Source organism: Homo sapiens, chromosome 9 (genome assembly GCF_000001405.40).
Source record: "Homo sapiens chromosome 9, GRCh38.p14 Primary Assembly".
Lineage (NCBI taxonomy): Eukaryota > Metazoa > Chordata > Mammalia > Primates > Hominidae > Homo > Homo sapiens.
Genome location: NC_000009.12, coordinates 137,502,863 through 137,523,597, shown reverse-complemented (window position 1 = coordinate 137,523,597; position 20,735 = coordinate 137,502,863). Strand labels below are relative to the sequence as shown.

Below are 20,735 nucleotides of genomic sequence, written 5' to 3'. Positions count from 1 at the left end.
AAACAACAGCCTTTCGTCTCTAGAGCCAACAAGTTTCCAGAAGAATCTGCCTGCATGCAGATCACAGCGTGATTTAAAAACAGCCTTTTCTCTCTAGAGCCCACCAATTTCTAGAAGATGGAAACCACGTCACTCACTGGGGCTTTTCCTGGGCTCTTTCCTTGGCCGTGTGGAGCTCTGCTGGCCACATCCACGCGGTGAGCCACTGTGGCTCCTCACCTGGGCCTCGTGCGACCCGGCAGTGCGCGCTCCCTGTCCTAGGCGGTGACCCCACTGTGGCGGTGGGCATTTGACAGTGGTGGCTCCTGACCCTCTCGGTGGCCTTTTTAGGAAGCCCGCTCAGGTTGGTGTCTGGCACGCCCTTTGGCGAGGGGTACCGACGCTGATGTCGGACGTAGAGTAGGACGCTGGTGAGCTGGTCCGTGAGCCTCAGTGGCAGGTGGGAGTGGTTGGAACTCCCCATGGTGAGTGCCCAGGTCTGGTGGGGTGGCTGCCTGCGGGCCTCCCCTCACCCACATTTCATCGTCAGCCAGTCCTTCGCCGCACATGTCTTGGACAGTCAAAAAACGTGTGCAGCTGGTGCCAAAAGCAGCACTTTGCACAGCCCAGCCTGGGAGGGAGAATGGAGCCGTGTGACTGGGCAGCAGGCGGGGCCTCCTCCAGGGCTTCCAGGAGCCTTGGCATTCCCTGGGGGGTTGGCCAGGCCCACAGAGTGGGGACTGATGGAGCTGTTGTTACAGGGCCATGCTGCACCTTACAAAACGGTCTCCGTCCGCGCGGCCATCCCGTCCACCATCCTCCGGCTTCCAGCTGCGGCTTTTCATGGAGTTTTTGAGAAATATCCGGAAACTCTGGTGAGGGTGGTGCAGGTGAGTCACTTTTTCAGACAACTCTTCTAGCTGCTGTGGGTCACCCTGGGGGGGCCTGGGCACTGGTTTGGGATTTGAGTGGGTTTATTGCCCACTTACTTTCTCAGTTCTGAGCTTTACAGCCATGAAGGTGATTTCAGAGGAATAGAGAAATCAACTTCATTGGCGGGACTTACCACTGGTGTTGTGGGATTCTGAGTGGGTTCGGGAATAATGAAGGTTATATTTTAAAAATCTGGGGCCGGGCGCGGCGGCTCACGCCTGTAACCCCAGCACTGTGGGAGGCCGAGGCGGGCGGATCACGAGGTCAGGAGATCGAGACCATCCTGGCTCACACGGTGAAACCCCGTCTCTTGGCCGGGCGCGGCGGCTCCCGCCTGTAACCCCAGCACTGTGGGAGGCCGAGGTGGGCGGATCACGAGGTCAGGAGATCGAGACCATCCTGGCTCACACGGTGAAACCCCGTCTCTGCTAAAAATACAAAAAATTAGCCAGGCGTGGTGGCGGGCGCCTGTAGTCCCAGCTACTCGGGAGGCTGAGGCAGGAGAACGGCATGAACCCGGGAGGCGGAGCTTGCAGTGAGCCGAGATGGTGCCACTGCACTCCAGCCTGGGCGGCATAGCGAGACACCATGTCAAAAAAAAATTGTAATATATATCTTAAAATAAAAATGAATGTTCACAATCTCAAAGAGGTCTTAAGATCCCTCACTACCCCCAAAGAGATTTTTACATTTTTATTAAACTTCTCACTTTGGAGTAACTTTAGATTTATAGAAAACTTGCAAAAACAATGCAGTCTTCATGTGCCCCTTGTCCCATTCCCCGTGATGTGAACGTGTTACTTGACCGTGGTGAGGTGTCAAGTCTGCGGGGTTTTTCACCCTGAGAGGGTTCGGTCTGTGGCATCTGCAGGGTTTGGGGCACGGTTCTCAGTGCTCTGTGTGGTGCTGCCGGGGGCCCGCCCTGTACCCCAGGCCGGTGGTCACCGCGCAGCTGGCGTGTTCTTGCAGATCATCATGGTGCGGCTGCAGAGGGTGACCTTTCTGGCTCTGCACAACTACCTCGGCCTGACCACAGAGCTCTTCAACGCTGTAAGTGAAAACCACCTCACAAAGCCCCATGCTGCTCCATGCAGCTGGCATCGGGACAGCTATTGGTTGGCACGGCAGGCGCCCAGTGCCTGGTGGGGCAGTGCCAGCAACAGCTGTGGTCTTCCCAGTTGCTGGTCATTAGGACTTTGGGAGGGGCTGGTTGTGCTGTGTTTATTCTCCTACCTTAAAGCACCTGCTAGTCAGTTTGGAGGCTTGATTCTCCTGGGGCCTTGTGTTCCAAAATCTCTGATCCGTTGGACTTGGGAAAGGTGGAATTCCTTCTCCGATGATGGAGTTGTCCCTCTGGAGGCCCACACGGTTGTGAACAGCCGCCTGGTGCCTCTGCAGCTCCCATTCAGGACTCTGTGATGAGTCTTCCTTTGGTCACCTGTGTTCTGTAGGACATCGGCAGCCACACACACGCTCCTTCCCTTTCTGGCCCTGCAGGCTGCACACTGAGCTGACAGCCCTGTCCAGGAGAGGCTGCCCCTCCCCATGCCCATCCCATGGGGTCCCTACAGCCATGTCAAGCAGAGGCTGCCCCTCCCCATGCCCGTCCCATGGGGTCCCTATGGCCACGGTCCAGCAGAGGCTGCCCCTCCCCATGCCCGTCCCATGGGGTCCCTACAGCCGAATCCAGCAGAGGCTGCCTCTCCCCATGCCCGTCCCGTGGGGTCCCTACGTCCGCGTCCAGCAGAGGCTGCCCCTCCCCATGCCCGTCCCATGGGGTCCCTGTTGCCAGCACTCCCTGTGTGTTGCCCTTGACAGCTCCTCCTATCTGAACCGGGTGGGGCGGAGCTGACCCTGAACTGTGACGCGTTTGGAGGGTACAGCGCATTGTCAAGGGCACAAGGCTGTCAACCCCGGCTCTCCCTCCTCCTGGCGGTGTGACCCTGGGAGGCACTTGGCCGGGACGTGGGACGGTCCCCACCTAGCCGAGCTCTCGTGGGAACTGAGTGAGACCAGGGTTTCGTGCCCTGCTCCATCCCCACTGCCCAAAACAGTAGCCTGATATGCGGAGGGCTCTCTTTAGTCATGGGGCAAGTGGAGCTCGGTTAGTAAAGGCCCAGCACGCATTAGTCTTTAGTATGTGCATTTCAGTTGGAAATCATAATTCTGATGACATTTTAGGGCTTGTCGTCTTCAGTTGTTGACATTAAGGGAATATCTTTTTGTTTTCTACATTATCTTTTGTTTTAATGAAGAGTATTAAGGTTCTGACAATTTGGGGCAGTATGTTGACTTGATCAAGTGTTTGAGACAGGGCCTAGGGTAAAAGCAGGCTGAGCTTGGTTGCCTTAAACAGACCAGTCCTTTTCTTGAATAACTGGATTTCTGGGTTGATGATCGGCCTCTTTCCATTGCCTGAAATGTAGCTTAAACTTTGCCTTGAGAGGCCCACACCTGTCACACCTTTGAGAGGCCCACACCTGTCACACCTTTGAGAGTCCCACACCTGTCACACCTTTGAGGGGCCCACACCTGTCACACCTTTGAGGAGCCCACACCTGTCACACCTTTGAGGAGCCCACACCTGTCAGTGGGTGTGGGGTGTTCCTGGGGTGGCACTGAACTTCCTTCTTGTGTCCCAGGAGAGCCAGGCCATCCCTCTCGTGTCTGTAGCCAGTGTGGCTGCCGGGAAGGCCAAGAAGCAGGTGTTCTATGGCGAAGAAGAGCGGCTTAAAAAGCCACCGCGGCTCCAGGAGTCCTGTGACTCAGGTACTGTCCTGCACCAAGGAGGGCAATGTCCAGCCCCAGAGTCCGGGGGATCCTGCTCCCACTGCCTCAGGTCACCCCAGGTCATCTTGCACATGCCTGAGGCCACCACACACATCCCCGGGTCACCTCACACGGCCCAGGTCACCCTACAAGTCCCACAAGTCACCTCACATGCCCCCCAGGTCTACTCACACGCACCCCAGGTCCCCTCACGTGCCTCAGGTCCCCTCACACGTGCCCCAGGTCACCTCACATGCCCCCCAGGTCTCATCAGATGGCCCCCCAGGTCTCCTCACGTGTCCCCATCTCCTCACATGCGGGCTGGATGTCCTCAGACCTCCCCAGGTCTCATCAGGTGTGCCCATCTCCTCACATGTGGGCTGGATGTCCTCAAACCTCCAACGGTCTCATTACGTGTGCCCGTCTCCTCACATGAGGCCCGGATGTCCTCAGACAGGCCCAGGACCCTTCACCCTCCATTCTTCAGTTGTTCCCAGAATTCTCCCTGCGTGCTTGGCCTGGGCCAGGTGCCTGGTGGGGAGTGGGCCTCCCGCGATGGGCTCTCACCCGCTGTTCTGAGTGCTAACCGGGGGGCCTGAATCTGAGGAGGAAGCGGTCGGGTGCGGCGTGCACTGCATGAGTCACCCCACGACGATCTGTGTGATGGAGTTAACAGCCACCCTACAGATGAGGTGCGCGCTTGGTTATTTATAGCCCATCATGTTCCCAAAAGAATTGAAGTGACTAACAAAAGTATGTGAAATTAAATGAAGCAATGCTGATGAGAGTGAGGAGAGAATGGAGTGAGCAGAGTGGAGTGAGTGAGTGGGGGATGGAGTGGACAGAGTGGAATGAGTGAGTGTGGGATGGAGTGAGTAGAGTGGAGGGAGTGAGTGGGGGATGGAGTGGACAGAGTGGAGTGAGTGAGTGGGGGATGGAGTGGATAGGGTGGAGTGAGTGAGTGAGGATGGAGTGGACAGAGTGGAGTGAGTGAGTGGGGGATGGAGTGAGCAGAGTGGAGTGAGTGAGTGAGGATGGAGTGAGTAGAGTGAAGTGAGTGAGTGGGGGATGGAGTGAGTAGAGTGGAGTGAGTGAGTGGGGGATGGAGTGGACAGAGTGGAGTGAGTGAGTGGGGGATGGAGTGGACAGAGTGGAGTGAGTGAGTGGGGGATGGAGTGGACAGAGTGGAGTGAGTGAGTGGGGGATGGAGTGAGCAGAGTGGAGTGAGTGAGTGAGGATGGAGTGGACAGAGTGGAATGAGTGAGTGGGGGATGGAGTGAGCAGAGTGGAGTGAGTGAGTGGGGGATGGAGTGGACAGAGTGGAGTGAGTGAGTGGGGGATGGAGTGGACAGAGTGGAGCGAGTGAGTGGGGGATGGAGTGAGCAGAGTGGAGTGAGTGACGGGGGATGGAGTGGACAGAGTGGAGTGAGTGGGGGATGGAGTGAGCAGAGTGGAGTGAGTGAGTGGGGGATGGAGTGGAGTCAGTGAGTGGGGGATGGAGTGAGCAGAGTGGAGTGAGTGAGTGAGGGATGGAGTGGACAGAGTGGAATGAGTGAGTGGGGGATGGAGTGAGCAGAGTGGAGTGAGTGAGTGGGGGATGGAGTGGACAGAGTGGAGTCAGTGAGTGGGGGATGGAGTGAGCAGAGTGGAGTGAGTGAATGAGGGATGGAGTGGACAGAGTGGAGTGAGTGAGTGGGGGATGGAGTGAGCAGAGTGGAGTGAGTGAGTGGGGGATGGAGTGGACAGAGTGGAGTGAGTGCGTGAGTGGGGGATGGAGTGGACAGAGTGGAGTGAGTGAGTGAGGGATGGAGTGGACAGAGTGGAGTGAGTGACGGGGGATGGAGTGGACAGAGTGGAGTGAGTGAGTGGGGGATGGAGTGGACAGAGTCGAGTGAGTGAGTGGGGGATGGAGTGAGCAGAGTGGAGTGAGTGAGTGGGGGATGGAGTGAGCAGAGTGGAGTGAGTGAGTGGGGATGGAGTGGACAGAGTGGAGTGAGTGACGGGGGATGGAGTGGACAGAGTGGAGTGAGTGAGTGTGGGATGGAGTGGATAGAGTGGAGTGAGTGAGTGTGGGATGGAGTGGACAGAGTGGAGTGAGTGACGGGGGATGGAGTGGACAGAGTGGAGTGAGTGAGTGAGGGATGGAGTGGACAGAGTGGAGTGAGTGACGGGGGATGGAGTGGATAGAGTGGAGTGAGTGAGTGGGGGATGGAGTGGACAGAGTGGAGTGAGTGAGTGAGGGATGGAGTGGACAGAGTGGAGTGAGTGAGTGTGGGATGGAGTGGACAGAGTGGAGTGAGTGACGGGGGATGGAGTGGACAGAGTGGAGTGAGTGAGTGAGGGATGGAGTGGACAGAGTGGAGTGAGTGAGTGTGGGATGGAGTGGACAGAGTGGAGTGAGTGAGTGTGGGATGGAGTGGACAGAGTGGAGTGAGTGACGGGGGATGGAGTGGACAGAGTGGAGTGAGTGAGTGAGGGATGGAGTGGACAGAGTGGAGTGAGTGACGGGGGATGGAGTGGACAGAGTGGAGTGAGTGAGTGGGAGATGGAGTGGACAGAGTGGAGTGAGTGAGTGGGGGATGGAGTGGACAGAGTGGAGTGAGTGAGTGTGGGATGGAGTGGACAGAGTGGAGTGAGTGAGTGAGGGATGGAGTGGACAGAGTGGAGTGAGTGAGTGAGGGATGGAGTGGACAGAGTGGAGTGAGTGACGGGGGATGGAGTGGACAGAGTGGAGTGAGTGAGTGGGGGATGGAGTGAGCAGAGTGGAGTGAGTGAGTGGGGATGGAGTGGACAGAGTGGAGTGAGTGAGTGAGGGATGGAGTGGACAGAGTGGAGTGAGTGAGTGTGGGATGGAGTGGACAGAGTGGAGTGAGTGACAGGGGATGGAGTGGACAGAGTGGAGTGAGTGGGGGATGGAGTGGACAGAGTTGAGTGAGTGAGGATGGAGTGAGCAGAGTGGTGTTACTCCTGCACTCATGTGTGCTTGTGAGACCCCATGAGGATCACAGCCACCTTTAAACGCAGCTCTGGCTGATGTGCTTTTTCCCAGAAATGCATTTTATTTTTATAATAATAATAATAATTATTATTATTACTATTGAGACAGGGTTTTGCTCTTTTGCCCAGTCTGGAGTGCAGTGGTGTGGTACTGGCTCACTGCCACCCCCATGTCACTGGCTGAAAGGATTCTCCTGCGTCAGCCTCCTGAGTAGCTTGGTCCACAGGCGCATGCCACCAGGCCCAGCTCATTTACTTTTATTTTTAAATTTTTGTAAAGATGGCATCTTACTACGTGGTCCAGGGTGGTCTTGAACTCCTGGTCTCAAGTGATCCTCCCACCTTGGCCTCCCAAATTGTTTGGATTACAGGTGTGAGCCACTGCACCTGGCCTCAAAGTGTATTTTAGAGTATGTGTCATTGCCTGAATGGCATTTCTTTCACTGGATTAGGTCCATGTGACTTGATGGGGCAGCAGCTGTCCTGGATGAGGTCTTGGCAGAGACCAGGGCCGGGGGTGCTCATGGGCCTCTGTAGGTAAGGACAGTGTCCAGGCAGGGCAGCCTCCTTCAGCCTGTGTGGTCGGCAAGGCCAGGCTCCTTCCTCGTTTCACCTGAGGGGCAGATGCAGCCCTGCGTGGCCCATCCCAGGCGAGCCCAGACAGCCACATCCACCAATGGGACGCCCTGAGAAAGGGCCTGGCTGGCAGCCCCACCTGGATGGAGTTTGCCTTCAAGGCACTTGGCCCACAGCAGGACAATCAGGGCAGCAAGGCCTCGGAATGGGGCAGGGGGTTAGGTTAGGGATGGGGGTGGGGCGCATGGGGGATTGGGGTAGGGGTGGAAGGGGTGGGGAGGAGGGATTGGGGTGGGGAGGGGGATTTCGGGGAATGGGGGGTTGGGGTAGGTAGGGAGGATTTGGGGGAGGGGGTTGGGGTAGGGAGGGAGGATTTGGGGGAGGGGGGATTGAGGTGGGGAGGGTGGATTTGGGGGAGGGGCATTGGGGTGGGGAGGGGGGATTTGGGGGGAGGGGGTTGAGGTGGGGAGGGGGCATTTGGGGGAGAGGGATTGGGGGGAGGGGGCATTTGGGGGAGAGGGATTGAGGGGGGAGGGGGGATTTGGGGGAAGGGGGATGGGGTGGGGAGGGAGATTGGGAGGAGGGGGATGTGGGAGGCGGGATTGGGCGGGGAGGGGCCAGGGCTAGTCAGAGGCCGGCACTCGCTTGCACTCACCTGCTGGCCCGGCAGATGCAGAGGCCTGGTGGCCGGTGGGCTGGTCCAGAGCGCGTTCAGGTGCGCAGGGCACTGTGGGGACCCTGCTCCCTGCGTGGCCCCGAATGGGCTGCACCAGACACCAGGGAGTGCGTGCAAACAAGGTTGCTTACGGCTGCCTCCCCAGCAGATCACGGGGGCGGCCGCCCGGCAGCTGCTGGGCCCCTGCTGAAGAGGAGCCACTCCGTCCCCGCGCCTTCCATTCGCAAACAGATCTTGGAGGAGCTGGAGAAGCCCGGGGCAGGTGACCCTGACCCTTCGGCCCCACAAGGTAAAGAACCTCGACGGCTGCCCAGCCAGTGTGACCCACAGGCCCTCGGCATCTGAGACCCAGGCTGAGCTGCACTGATGCCCAGCATCGCCGCCGAGGCGGGCACCCTCCACTAGAGCCCCACGTGCCCAGGGGGGCCTGTGCCTGTCCTCTGGCTCTAGGGTCGAGGCTTGGTGGCCGTCCTGCCGCCCAGAACACCCTGGTGTGCTCCTCTGCGTGCCTGCCCTGTCTCACCCCCACCACCGCCAGGGCTGGGCCGGTGCCACCAGATGCCCCGCAGAGCCATGTGCTCGGCCCTTCCCGCCCTCCCTGCATGGTCCCTCTCCTGCCTTGTGTCCCGGGTCTCTAGCAAGCCTCCCTTCCTTCCCCAGCCCTGCTGACGTGTGCCTCCCCGCAGGGACCTTTGCTGTAACTGATGTGTAGCAAAACCTCAACAGCCGGGTGACCCGCCCACAGCCCAGCCACAGGGCCCGGGCACATCAACATCCGAGTGACCCGCCTGCAGCCCAGCCACAGGGCCCAGGCACCTCAACATCCAGGTGACCCGCCCGCAGCCCAGCCACAGGGCCCGGGCACCTCAACAGTCAGGTGACCCACCTGCAGCCCGGCCACAGGGCCCGGGCATCTCAACAGCCAGGTGACCCACCCACAGCCCAGCCACAGGGCCCGGGCACATCAACATCCGAGTGACCCGCCTGCAGCCCAGCCACAGGGCCCAGGCACCTCAACATCCGGGTGACCCGCCCGCAGCCCAGCCACAGGGCCCGGGCACCTCAACAGCCGGGTGACCCGCCCACAGCCCGGCCACAGGGCCCGGGCACCTCAACATCCGGGTGACCCGCCCGCAGCCCAGCCACAGGGCCCGGGCACCTCAACAGTCAGGTGACCCGGCCACAGGGCCCGGGCATCTCAACAGCCAGGTGACCCACCCACAGCCCAGCCACAGGGCCCCGGCACATCAACATCCGAGTGACCCGCCTGCAGCCCAGCCACAGGGCCCAGGCACCTCAACATCCGGGTGACCCGCCCGCAGCCCGGCCACGGGGCCCGGGCACCTCAACAGTCAGGTGACCCGCCCACAGCCCGGCCACAGGGCCCGGGCATCTCAACAGCCAGGTGACCCACCCACAGCCCAGCCACAGGGCCCGGGCACATCAACATCCGAGTGACCCGCCTGCAGCCCAGCCACAGGGCCCGGGCACCTCAACAGCCGGGTGACACGCCCGCAGCCCAGCCACAGGGCCCGGGCACCTCAACATCCGGGTGACCCGCCCGCAGCCCGGCCACAGGGCCCGGGCACCTCAACAGTCAGGTGACCCGCCCACAGCCCAGCCACAGGGCCCAGGGCATTTTCAGGGCAGCCTCCAAGTCCATCCTGCCCGGCAGTGCAGCCGTGCTCCTGCCGCAGACCTGCCCCCTCTGCCGTCTGCCACCCGCAGGTCACCGGCAAGCTCATTGGCTCCTGCTGTATTCGGTTCCATCTGGGCGTCCCTCTCAGATTGTCTGGTCGTATTCTCTGCCCACTTTCTGCAGGATTCTGGAGTTTGGTTGATTTGTGTTGATTCTTTATGTGCTGTAGGTAGAGGTCCCTGGTTAGTTTCACTTTTGGAGATTCTCTTCCCCATTGTCTCCTTAGTTTTTTTTGGAGATTCTTTTCCCTCTTGTCTCATTAGTTTCAGTTGTTGGAGATTCTCTTCCCTCTTGTCCATGGGCTGGAAAATGCCGCCACGGGACCTTCACGCAACAGGGACCCTGATGTTCTTTTGTGGAAAGCCAGCTTTTTGCCTTGGCACCTGTGATTTGTGTTTTGGGTCTTATTTATTCTTTCCTTATTCCTGAGTCATAAATAAATTTTCCAAAGACTATTTTATTTATTTCTGTTTTTTAATTTTTTTTTTTTTTGTGACAGAGTTTCACTCTTGTTGCCCAGGCTGGAGTGCAATGGTGTGATCTCAGCTCACCGCAACTTCTGCCTCCCAGGTCCAAGTGATTCTCCTGCCTCAGCCTATTTTAGGCAGGTGTCACCACAACTGGCTAATTTTGTATTTTTAGTAGAGACGGGGTTTCCCCATGTTGGCCAGGCTGGTCTCAAACTCCCAACCTCAGGTGATCCGCCCACCTCAGCCTCCCAAAGTGCTGGGATTACAGGCTGAGCCACCGCACCCGGCCTCAAAGACTATTTTTATTAGCTTTTAGTTTTGCCTTTCACATAGAGGTCTTTCATTTATCTGTAGTTTATACTGCAAGAATGAGGGAAGAAATTCATCTTTTCCTTACTCTTTATGGTGATAATTTACCCAACACCATTAATAAAACAATCTGTCATCTCTCTCTTGCTTTTTTTGTGCCATCGGGCATCAGGTATCTGAATCTACATGGATTTTTTTGTTTAAGTAACAGCTTTTTTTTTTTTTTTCAGACAGAGGCTCGTTCTGTGGCCCAGGCTAGAGTGCAGTGGTGAGATCATGGCACACTGCGGCCTCAACCCTCTGGGCTCAAGTGATCTTCCCACCTCAGCCTCCTGAGTAGTTGGGAGTACAGGCACACCACTGCACTTGGCATTTTTTTTTTTTGTATTTTCTTTTTATTTTTCTTGTTTCCTGTAGAGAGGGTGTCTTGCCATGTTACCCAGGCTGGTTTCGAACTCCTGGGCTCAAGTGATCCTCCTGCCTCAGCCTCCCAAACTGTTGGGAAACAGGCATGAGCCACAGCACCTGGCCCAGTTGTTGTTTGTTTATTAACTAGTGATGGTTGTATAATGCGCATGCAGGACGCACATTGCAGGTGGACGGTTTGATGACTCCATAAACTGAACTCACTTGTGAACCAGGTAAAGAAACATAAATTAGCCCCTGCAAGCCCCGTTCATGCTCCTCTTGTTACCACCAGCAGCCATGTCTGGTTGTAAAACCTGCTCCCCACCACGGCTGCCTGCCGTCCCGATGGCTGCCAGCCGAGGTGAGGTTGGCCTGTTTTCCTTTTCAGAAGTGGAGCCGTGTGGTGTGCGTTTGTGTTTGGCTTCCCTGCTCCACGTCCCGTGGGGAGGTCCATCCATGCCGTCATGTGGAGAAGCCTCCCCACCTTCTCGTGGTGGTGCAGGCTTCGCCGTGTGAATGTTTACGTCTGTGCGTCCACTGCACGAGCGTGTACACATTTCTGTTGGGGCTGCTGGGTCATGGAGTCACGTGTGCTTGGCTCAGGGGTGTAGGGTCCAGCCCTACAGGGCCTTGTGAGTTTTCTCTTCATGTGCAAAGACGAGAGATTGTAGTAAAATAAGACACGAGACTAAGAGATAGTAGGAAAGACAGCTGGGCCCAGAGGCCACTACCACCAGTGCGCAGAGTCCGGTAGTGGCCCTGAAGGCCTGGACGCACTGCTATTTATTGTATACAAGGCAAGGGGGCAGGGTAAGGAGTGTGAGTCATCTCAAGTGATTGATAAGGACAAGCAAGTCACCTGTCCACGTGACAGGGGGCCTTTCCCTTTGTGGTAGCTGAAGCAGAGAGGGAGGACAGCAGACGTTAGCATTTCTTCTATGCACTTATCAGAGAGATCAAAGACTCTAATACTTTCGCTAATTCTGCTACTGCTATCTTCTAAGAACTTAAGAGAAGCAGCAGGTGTACAGGCGGAATATGAAAGCGGACAAGGAGCGTGACCACTGAAGCACAGCACCACAGGGAGACGTTGAAGCCTCCAATGACTGCGGGCAGGCCTGGGGAATGTCAGGCCCCCCACAAGAACTGGTGGAGCAGAGTGCTCGCTAACTCTCCCAGGGAAAGGGAGACTCCCTTTCCTGGTCTGCTAAGTAATGGGTGCCTTCCAGGCGCTGGCGCTACCGCCAGGCCAAGGTCCACTAAGTAACGGGTGCCTTCCCAGGTGCTGGTGCTACCGCCAGACCAAGGTCTGCTGAGTAACGGGTGCCTTCCCAGGCGCTGGCGCTACCGCCAGGCCAAGGTCTGCTGAGTAACGGGTACCTTCCCAGGCGCTGGCGCTACCACCAGGCCAAGGTCCACTAAGTAACGGGTGCCTTCCCAGGCACTGGCGCTACCGCCAGGCCAAGGTCTGCTGAGTAACGGGTGCCTTCCCAGGTGCTGGCGCTACCACCAGGCCAAGGTCCACTAAGTAACGGGTGCCTTCCCAGGCGCTGGCGCTACCGCCAGACCAAGGTCCACTAAGTAACGGGTGCCTTCCCAGGCGCTGGTGCTACCGCCAGACCAAGGTCCACTAAGTAACGGGTGCCTTCCCAGGCACTGGCACTACCGCTAGACCAAGGAGCCCTCAAGCGGCCCTTATCTGGGCGTGACAGAGAGCTCACACTCTTGTCTTCTGGTTGCTTCTCACAATGTCCCTTCAGCTCCTAACTCTGTGTGGCCTGGTTTTTCTTTGGTTATAATAATCATACAAAGGTTAATACAGAAAACTAATGATTGATAATATCCATATACATTCATCTCTATATCCTATTTCGAATATAACTTTCTCTTATCCTAACTATTTTCTTGATTATATTGGAACAGCTTGTGCCTTCAGTCTCATGCCTCGGCACCTGGGTGACTTTCCGCCCACACGGGGGCACTGCCTGGTGGCGTTTCAGGCACTGACACCTGTAGGGACCAGCCCCACAGGGTCAGTGGGTCTCTCCCTGTGTGCGGCGATGAGAGAGTGTAGAAATAAAGACACAAGACAAAGAGATAAGAGAAAAGGCAGCTGGGCCCGGGGGACCACTACCACCAATGTGCAGAGACCTGTAGTGGCCCCGAATGTCTGGCTGCACTGTTATTTATTGGATACAAGGCAGAAGGGGCAGGGTAAAGAGTGTGAGTCATCTCCAATGATAGGTAAGGTCACGTGAGTCACGTGTCCACTGGACAGGGGGCCCTTCCCTGCCTGGCAGCCGAGGCAGAGAGGGAGAGGAGACAGACAGAAAGACAGCTTACGCCATTATTTCTGCATATCAGGGACTATTAGTATTTTCACTAATTTACTACTGCTATCTAGAAGGCAGAGCCAGGTGTACAGGATGGAACATGAAGGTGGACTAGGAGCGTGACCACTGAAGCACAGCATCACAGGGAGACGGTTAGGCCTCCGGATAACTGTGGGCAGGTCTGACTGATGTCAGGCCCTCCACAAGAGGTAGAGGAGCAGAGTCTTCTCTAAACTCCCCGGGGAAAGGGAGACTCCCTTTCCCGGTCTGCTAAGTAGCGGGTGTTGTTCCTTGACACCTTTTGCTACCGCTGGACCATGATCCGCCTGGTAACGGGCGTCTTCCCAGACGCTGGCGTCACCGCTAGACCAAGGAGCCCTCTGGTGGCCCTGTCCAGGCATAACAGAAGGCTCGCACTCTTGTCTTCTGGTCACTCTTCACTTTGTCCCCTCAGCTCCTATCTCTGTATGGCCTGGTTTTTCCTAGGTTATGATTGTAGAGCGAGGATTATTATAATATTGGGATAAAGAGTAATTACTACCAACTAATGATTAATGATATTCATATATAATCATACCTAAGATCTATATCTGGTATAACTATTCTTGTTTTATATTTTATTATACTGGAACAGCTCGTGTCCTCTGTCTCTTGCCTCAGTGCCTGGGTGGCTTGCCGCCCACAGACACCAGCGTCTACTCCTCAGCCTCATCCGACTGCTGTGGCTGCTCCATGCCTGTGCTGTGCATCATGGGCCACAAGCCTCATGTGACTGTTGACACCTAAACTCACTCATGCCAGCTAAACTCATTCACGCCAGTTAAACTCATTCATACTAGCTAAACTCATTTGTACCAGCTAAACTCACTCACACCAGTTAAACTCACTCACACCAGTTAAACTCATTCGTACCAGCTAAACTCACTCATGCCAGCTAAACTCACTCACGCCGGCTAAACTCACTCGTACCAGCTAAACTCATTCGTACCAGCTAAACTCATTCATACCAGCTAAACTCACTCATGCCAGCTAAACTCACTCACGCCGGCTAAACTCACTCATACCGGCTAAACTCATTCGTACTAGCTAAACTCATTCGTACCAGCTAAACTCACTCGTACCAGCTAAACTCACTCACACCAGCTAAACTCACTTGTACCAGCTAAACTCACTCATGCCAGCTAAACTCACTCATGCCAGCTAAATTCACGCCAGCTAAACTCACTCGTACCCGCTAAACTCACTCATACCAGTTAAACTCACTCATGCCAGCTAACTCACTCATGTCAGCTAAACTCACTCATGCCAGCTAAACTCACTCATGCCAATTAAACTCATTCGTACCAGCTAAACTCACTCATGCCAGCCACACTTCAGGTGCTCACTGGCCGCCCATGGTTAGCGGCCACTTCCGGCCCAGCATGTGCTGCTCTCTGTCTTCTGGTGGGCGTGCAGTGGAGGCTGCCTGTGCTCTGATTCTGTCTTCTTGATGAACTGTGAGGCCGAGCACCTTGGATAGCCTTCTTTGTCTTTTGCCCATTTTCCTCTTAGCTTTCATTTTCTTATTATTAATAGGAATTCTTTATATATTCTCTGTATGATTCCTTTGTCAAGTATGTATATTAAAAATATTTTCTATTCACTTTTTACTATCGTAGTGGTGTCTTTTGATGAATAGGAAATTTTAAACTTAATGGGATCTAATTTATCAATATTTTTCTTTTGTGGTTAATATATTTTGTGTCCTGTTTAAGAAATCTGTCTGTAAGATTTAACGTTTTACCTTTCATATGATCCATCTAGAATTTATTCTTTTGTAGAAAGTGAGTAGGGGTCAAGATATATCCTTTTCTTTTTTCTTTTTCCTTTTCTTTTTTTTTTGAGACAGAGTCTCGCTCTTGTTGCCCAGGCTGGAATGCAATAGTGCGATCTCAGCTCACTGCAAGCTCCATCTCTGGGGTTCAAGCAATTCTCCTGCCTCAGCCGCCGAGTAGCTGTTAATTACAGGCGCCCACCACCATGCCCAGCTAATTTTTTGTATTTTTAGTAGAGACGGGGTTTCACCGTGTTAGCCAGGATGGTCTCGATCTCCTGACCTCGTGATCCGCCCGCCTCGTCCTCCCAAAGTGCTGGGATTCCAGGCGTGAGCTGCCGCGCCCGGCTGATACATCCTTTTCTAAATGGCTATCTAGTTGATCCACCACTTTTTCTTTTTCTTTTTTTGAGGTAAGGCCTTGCTCCATGGCCCAGGCTGGGGTGCAGTGGTGAAATCACAACTCACTGCAGCCTCGAGCTCCTGGGCTCAAATGATCCACCTGCCTCAGCCCATGAGGGCTCAAGTGATCCACCCGCCTCAGCCTCATGGGTAGCTGGGACCACAGGTGTGGCCCCCACACCTGGCTGGTTTTTAAAATTTTTGTAGATAGAGATCTCTTGCTGTGTTGCCCAGGCTGGTCTTGAATTCCTGGCCTCAAGCGCTGCCTCCACCTTGGCCTCTGAAAGTGCTGGGATTACAGGCATGAGCCGCTGCACCTGGCCCATTTATTTATGTATTTATTTTTAAGAGATGCAGTCTCTCACTATGTTGTCCAGGCCTCAAACTCCTGGGCTCAAGCGATCCTTCCGGCTTGGCCTCTTGAGCAGCAAGGACCACAGGTGCATACCACCATGCCTGGCCCCCGTATTTTATTTTATTTATTTATTTTGAGATGGAGTTTTGCTCTTGTCAGGTGCATACCACCATGCCTGGCCCCCGTATTTTATTTTATTTATTTATTTTGAGACACAGTTTTGCTCTTGTCACCCAAGCTGGAGTGCAATGGTGCGATCTCAGCTCACCGCAACCTCTGCCTCCTGGGTTCAAGGGATTCTCCTGCCTCAGCCTCCCGAGGACCTGGGGTAACAGGCATGTGCCACCACGCCCGGCTAATTTTGTATTTTTAGTGGAGACAGGGTTTCTCCATGTTGGTCAGGCTGGTCTCGAACCCCCAACCTTAGGCGACCTGCCTGCCTCAGCCTCCCAAAGTGCTGGGACTATAGGTGTGAGAAATTTTATCATTTAGCTACATGCTTGTTGACGTACAAGGTGTGGTCATTACACCCCAGTGTTCCCCTGTGTGGCTGCAGCCAGGTAAAGGGGCTGCTGCGCTCCTCTCGCCCAGCCCAGAGGGTCAGCCCCAGAGGAAGCACTGGTGACCTTTGTTGCCATAGATTGCTTTCCAGTTCGGATTTTTTTAAAAAACAGCAGGACTTGACGGGGGCATGAGTAATACACAGCACAGTGCACCGGGCTGAAGGGTGCCAGCTCCGTGAAACCCGACCAGCGCACCCTCAGCGTAAGCCTCGGAGACATGCGCCCCTTTCCAAGGCCCAGCGCTCCTGGCTCTCTGTGTCTGGCTTCCCAGGGAGGGGCACATGGCTGTGCTCCTGGGCCTGGTTCCTTCCCGCAGCGCCATGTGGCTGCGGCATCTGTGTGGCATGTGTCTGCGGTTAGTGTCTGCGCGGTTCCTCTGTATTCCGCTGAGAAATGGGTGTTGCGAATTCCAGTATGGATGGGAAACCGCAGTGCAGATGACTCGCTCGCATGCGCAGCTGCACACGAAGGGCTGGATCTGTGCCTGGAAGTGCGTGACCCCGTCGTGCAAAGCGTGCACCCTTCCTCAGAATCCACAGCAGCTGGTCCAGAGGTCAGATACGCTGTGTGTGTAGTGATGTGTAATGCTGAGGGCAGGCTGTAAAAGGGTGCACACTGCTTCATCCCGCTCAGCCCGAGGCCGCCCAAAAGCAGCAACAGGGGAGCTCTTTGGAGGGGGTGCCTCAACCCCCTCCCTCCAAGATGGGGCTGGACTGCGAAGAGCGAACCTCTGAGATGGGGCTGGGACTGCAAAGAGCCAAGCCCAAAGCACCAGCGTGACGGCCCAGGGCACCCGTTAGGGGAGCTCACATACAGAGGGCGGCAGCATCCCTGAGATGGACAGCAAGAGAAAGGGTGCTCTACCCAGGGTTGGCCGCAGCGAGCCGTCAGGGTGTGGCACGCATGGCAAGGTTTGAGGAATTTGGCTCAGGACCAGGGCTGGTTTCCTTCCGTGTTTTAGGTACCGACCGGGCTACCTTTATCAGTGCCCAGAAATGTTGAAGGCACCGTGTGGGTTTAAGCTGCGGAGAAAACCTGTAGCTGGTGGGTCACAGAGCCATTGAGGCAGATGCCGAAAGAAAGCAGGGTGTGGAGGGATCTCAGGGCCCGACTCCCTCGAGGGAGCTGCCGGGGTCTGTGTGGTTAGACTGCAGGGTGTGCTCAGCCCACACCGCGGACGTTTGTGTCAGTGGCCTAGCGAACCGTGTCCTGAGTGTCCCCTCTGTGTGTAGGGGGCCCAGGCAGTGCCACTTCTGATCTGGGGATGGCATGTGACCGTGCCAGGGTCTTCCTGCACTCGGACGAGCACCCCGGGAGCTCCGTGGCCAGCAAGGTAGGCCCTGGCTGTCATTCTCACCCTCCGCCTGGGGCCCCACCCTCTCCGTGGCTTGCTGGTGCATTGGGGGCGCCGCCGGCTTTGGTGTCATGTGGCACCTGCAGCTTCAGGAGGCTCAGCCGGCCTTTCCGCACTGTGCGATTCAGACCTGACCACACCCTTGTGCGATGTTCCCCAACCACATCCCTTCGAATTGCCGGTATCTCCGTTCTTCTCCAGTCCAGGAAAAGCGTGATGGTTGCAGAGATACCCTCCACGGTCTCCCAGCACTCAGAGAGTCACACGGATGAGACCCTGGCCAGCAGGAAGTCGGATGCCATCTTCAGAGCTGCCAAGAAGGACCTGCTCACCCTGATGAAGCTGGAAGTGAGTGGCCCCGGCGGGCACCTGGCCCTTGTCCCACCCAGGGCCCGTGGCCTCCTCTCTGCCTCTGTTGGGCAGTGGTTCCAGGTGTGGAGGACAGTGGCTGCAAAGGAGGTGTTTTGGGTGGAGTGCAGGCTTGCTTGTCTTTTGGGGTCCCCTTTGGGAAGCTAGCAGCTTGAGATCGCCTTATGTTCAAACTCAAAGCCGAAGCTTTCTGGGACATCAGGGTGTCCCAAAGCTGAACTTTAGAATTCTCATCTATGTTTATATTTAATACAGCAATAATAGTGTCAGATTATTGTAGTATGACATTTTCCCAGCTTCACTTTAATAATTTATTTTTATTACTTTTTAATATTCAATCATTAGTTCATCTAGGATTTAATTTCTTACATATGATGGAAAGCTTTTTTTTTTTTTTTTTTTTTTGAGACAGAGTCTCGCAGTATCGCCCAGGCTGGAGTGCAGTGATATGATCTCGGCTCACTGCAACCTCCACCTCTTGGATTCAAGCGATTCTCCTGCCTCAGCCTCCCAAGTAGCTGGGATACAGGCGCCCACGACCACACCTGGCTAAATTTTGTATTTTTAGTAGAGACGGGGTTTCACCATGTTGGCCAGGCTGGTCTCGAACTCCTGACCTCAAATGATTTGCCCACCTCAGCCTCCCAGAGTGTTGGGATTACAGGCGTGAGCCACGGCGCCCGGCTGATGGAAAGCTTTAAATAGGTAAAAAGACAGCCGTGATGGTGTCATGAGTTCCCATGCACTGGTCACCCAATTCCGTAATTACCAATCATGGCTAATCACTTTACAGCTGTACTCCTAGTCCCTCCCCCAGTTATTTTCTGTCTCAAAAATCTCCAACACGTTATAAGTTCACATCATTCCTCTCTAACGGTTAAGGACTCCTTCTGAGGCATCACCACGGTGTCGTTCTGCAAGTGAAATGTTAAAAAGCTGCGATTGCTCACCCACCCAGCGTGTTCCTGGACCCCTGACTGTGTCATGAGTGGTTCTCAGTGGTTTCTTGTTGTACAGATCAGGATCTGAGTAAGGGCCATACACTGCAGTGGGCTGATCTATCTCTTAAATCTGCTTTTCTGGCCAGGAGTGGTGGCTCATGCCTGTAATCCTAGCACTTTGGGAGGCCGAGGCAGGTGGATCACCTGAGGTCAAGAGTCCGAGACCAGCCTGACCAACATGGTGAAACTCTGTTTCTACTAAAGATACAAAAATTAGCTGGGTGTGATGGCACGTGCCTGTAATCCCAGCTACTTGGGAGGCTGAGGCAGGAGAATTGCTTGAACCTGGGAGACGGATGTTGCAGTGAGCCAAGATTGCGCCACTGCACACCAGCCTGGGCAACAAGAGTGAAACTCTGTCCCAAAGGAAAAAAAAAAATCTCTCTTCTTCTTCCTCTTCTTCTTCCTTCTTCCTTCTTCTTCCGTCTTCTTCTCTTCTTCTTCCTTTCTTTTTTCTTCTTCCTTTTTTCTTCTTCTTCTTTCTTTCTTCTTCTTCCTTCTTCTTCCTTCTTCTTCTTCCTTCTTCTTTCTTCTTCTTCCTTCTTCTTTCTTCTTCCTTCCTCCTCCTTCTTCTTCTTCCTTCTTCTTTCTTCTTCTTGCTTCTTTCTTCTTCCTTCTTCTTCTTCCTTCTTCCTTCTTCTTCATTCTTCCTTCTTCTTCTTCCTTCTTCTTCCTTCTTCTTTCTTCTTCCTTCTTCTTCTTCCTTCTTCTTTCTTCTTCCTTCCTCCTCCTTCTTCTTCTTCCTTCTTCTTCTTGCTTCTTTCTTCTTCCTTCATCTTCTTCCTTCTTCCTTCTTCTTCATTCTCTTCTTTCTTTTTTCTTCTTTTTCTTTCTTTTCTTTCTTCTTCTTCCTTCCCCTTCCCCTTTCTTCCCTTTCTCCTCCTTCCTTCCCCTTCTTTCTTCCCTCCCCTTCTCCTTCTTCCTTCCCCTTCTCCTTCTTCCTCCCCCTTCTCCTTCTCCCTCCTCCTTCTCCCTCCTCCTTCTTCCTCCTTCTCCTTCTCCCTCCTCCTTCTCCTTCTCCTTCCTCCTCCTTCTCCCTCCTCCTTCTCCTTCCCCCTCCTCCTTCTCCTTCCTCCTCCTCCTTCTCCTTCCCCCTCCTCCTTCTCCTTCCCCCTCCTCCTTCTCCTTCCCCCTCCTCCTTCTCCTTCCCCCTCCTCATTCTCCTTCTTTCTTTCTTCTCCTTCTCCCTCCTCCTTCCTTCTTCTTTTTTGGAAACAGTGTCTCACTTTGTCATCCAGCCTGGAGTGCAGTGGTGCCATCTCAGTTCACTGCAACCTCCACTTCCTGGGCTCAAGTGATCCTCCCACCTCAGCCTCCTGAGTAGTTGGAACCACAGGCCTCACTAACACACCTAGCTGAGTTTTGTATTTTTAGTGTAGACGGGGTTTTGCCATGTTTCCCAGGCTGGTCTTGAACTCCTAGCCTCTAGTGATCTACCTGCCTCGGCCTCCAAAAATTCTGGGATTACAGGCATGAGCCACTGTACCCAGCCAGTCTTCTCTCTCTTTAAACAACTTTTTAATTATGGGAAATTCAAAACTATATAGAATAGATGGAATAATATGTGAAGGTGAGTACCTAGCATCCCTCACAGTAACGATCACACCACAGCCCACCTTGTTTTCTCTGCACCCCTTCCGTACCGTTCGGGTGCCCCCCCTTGAAGCAAATCCCATCATCATAGCACGTCACTGGTGGATATTTCAGGATTCATCTCTAACCACAATAC

The 20,735-nt window shown here is 54.6% G+C and overlaps 1 protein-coding gene across 12 annotated transcripts in view, besides 12 other annotated features; it reads left to right on the top strand.

The window, feature by feature from the left end:
- PNPLA7 (patatin like domain 7, lysophospholipase) overlaps positions 1–20,735 on the top strand; it is a 90,451-nt gene that overhangs the window by 26,805 nt on the left and 42,911 nt on the right. For 9 of the 12 annotated variants that reach the window (XR_929794.2, XR_929793.2, XR_001746292.2 and 6 more), the window contains 6 exons: positions 741–869; positions 1,882–1,962; positions 3,555–3,681; positions 8,076–8,219; positions 17,515–17,615; positions 17,838–17,984. Coding sequence is in view for 8 of the 12 variants with exons in the window: in XM_047423367.1 (XP_047279323.1) it covers positions 741–869; positions 1,882–1,962; positions 3,555–3,681; positions 8,076–8,219; positions 17,515–17,615; positions 17,838–17,984 (729 nt within the window). In the remaining 4 variants the exon portion in view is untranslated. The remainder of the gene's footprint in view (positions 1–740; positions 870–1,881; positions 1,963–3,554; positions 3,682–8,075; positions 8,220–17,514; positions 17,616–17,837; positions 17,985–20,735) is intronic. The other 3 variants (NM_152286.5, NM_001098537.3, XM_047423365.1) reach the window with 1 other exon arrangement.
- Positions 18,301–20,735: part of a biological region, named in NCBI's record as "9q34.3 PNPLA7 recombination region", that runs on past the window's edge.
- Positions 18,301–20,735: part of a recombination feature, noted in NCBI's record as "recombination_hotspot; locus 1 recombination breakpoint sub-region, resulting in a terminal deletion", that runs on past the window's edge. NCBI's record gives the evidence for it as "EXISTENCE:DNA microarray evidence [ECO:0005524][PMID:19293338]".
- Positions 19,950–19,965: a nucleotide motif, noted in NCBI's record as "nucleotide motif; similarity to the predicted 16-mer PRDM9 C-type binding motif, CCNCNNTNNNCNTNNC".
- Positions 19,966–20,735: part of a meiotic recombination region, noted in NCBI's record as "meiotic double-strand break mapped by DNA meiotic recombinase 1 chromatin immunoprecipitation followed by single-stranded DNA enrichment and sequencing in the germ cells of some male individuals with the PRDM9 A/A, PRDM9 A/B and PRDM9 A/C genotypes", that runs on past the window's edge. NCBI's record gives the evidence for it as "EXISTENCE:chromatin immunoprecipitation-seq evidence [ECO:0000229][PMID:25395542]".
- Positions 19,992–20,007: a nucleotide motif, noted in NCBI's record as "nucleotide motif; similarity to the predicted 16-mer PRDM9 C-type binding motif, CCNCNNTNNNCNTNNC".
- Positions 20,011–20,026: a nucleotide motif, noted in NCBI's record as "nucleotide motif; similarity to the predicted 16-mer PRDM9 C-type binding motif, CCNCNNTNNNCNTNNC".
- Positions 20,046–20,061: a nucleotide motif, noted in NCBI's record as "nucleotide motif; similarity to the predicted 16-mer PRDM9 C-type binding motif, CCNCNNTNNNCNTNNC".
- Positions 20,084–20,099: a nucleotide motif, noted in NCBI's record as "nucleotide motif; similarity to the predicted 16-mer PRDM9 C-type binding motif, CCNCNNTNNNCNTNNC".
- Positions 20,103–20,118: a nucleotide motif, noted in NCBI's record as "nucleotide motif; similarity to the predicted 16-mer PRDM9 C-type binding motif, CCNCNNTNNNCNTNNC".
- Positions 20,122–20,137: a nucleotide motif, noted in NCBI's record as "nucleotide motif; similarity to the predicted 16-mer PRDM9 C-type binding motif, CCNCNNTNNNCNTNNC".
- Positions 20,141–20,156: a nucleotide motif, noted in NCBI's record as "nucleotide motif; similarity to the predicted 16-mer PRDM9 C-type binding motif, CCNCNNTNNNCNTNNC".
- Positions 20,727–20,735: part of a nucleotide motif, noted in NCBI's record as "nucleotide motif; similarity to the predicted 16-mer PRDM9 C-type binding motif, CCNCNNTNNNCNTNNC", that runs on past the window's edge.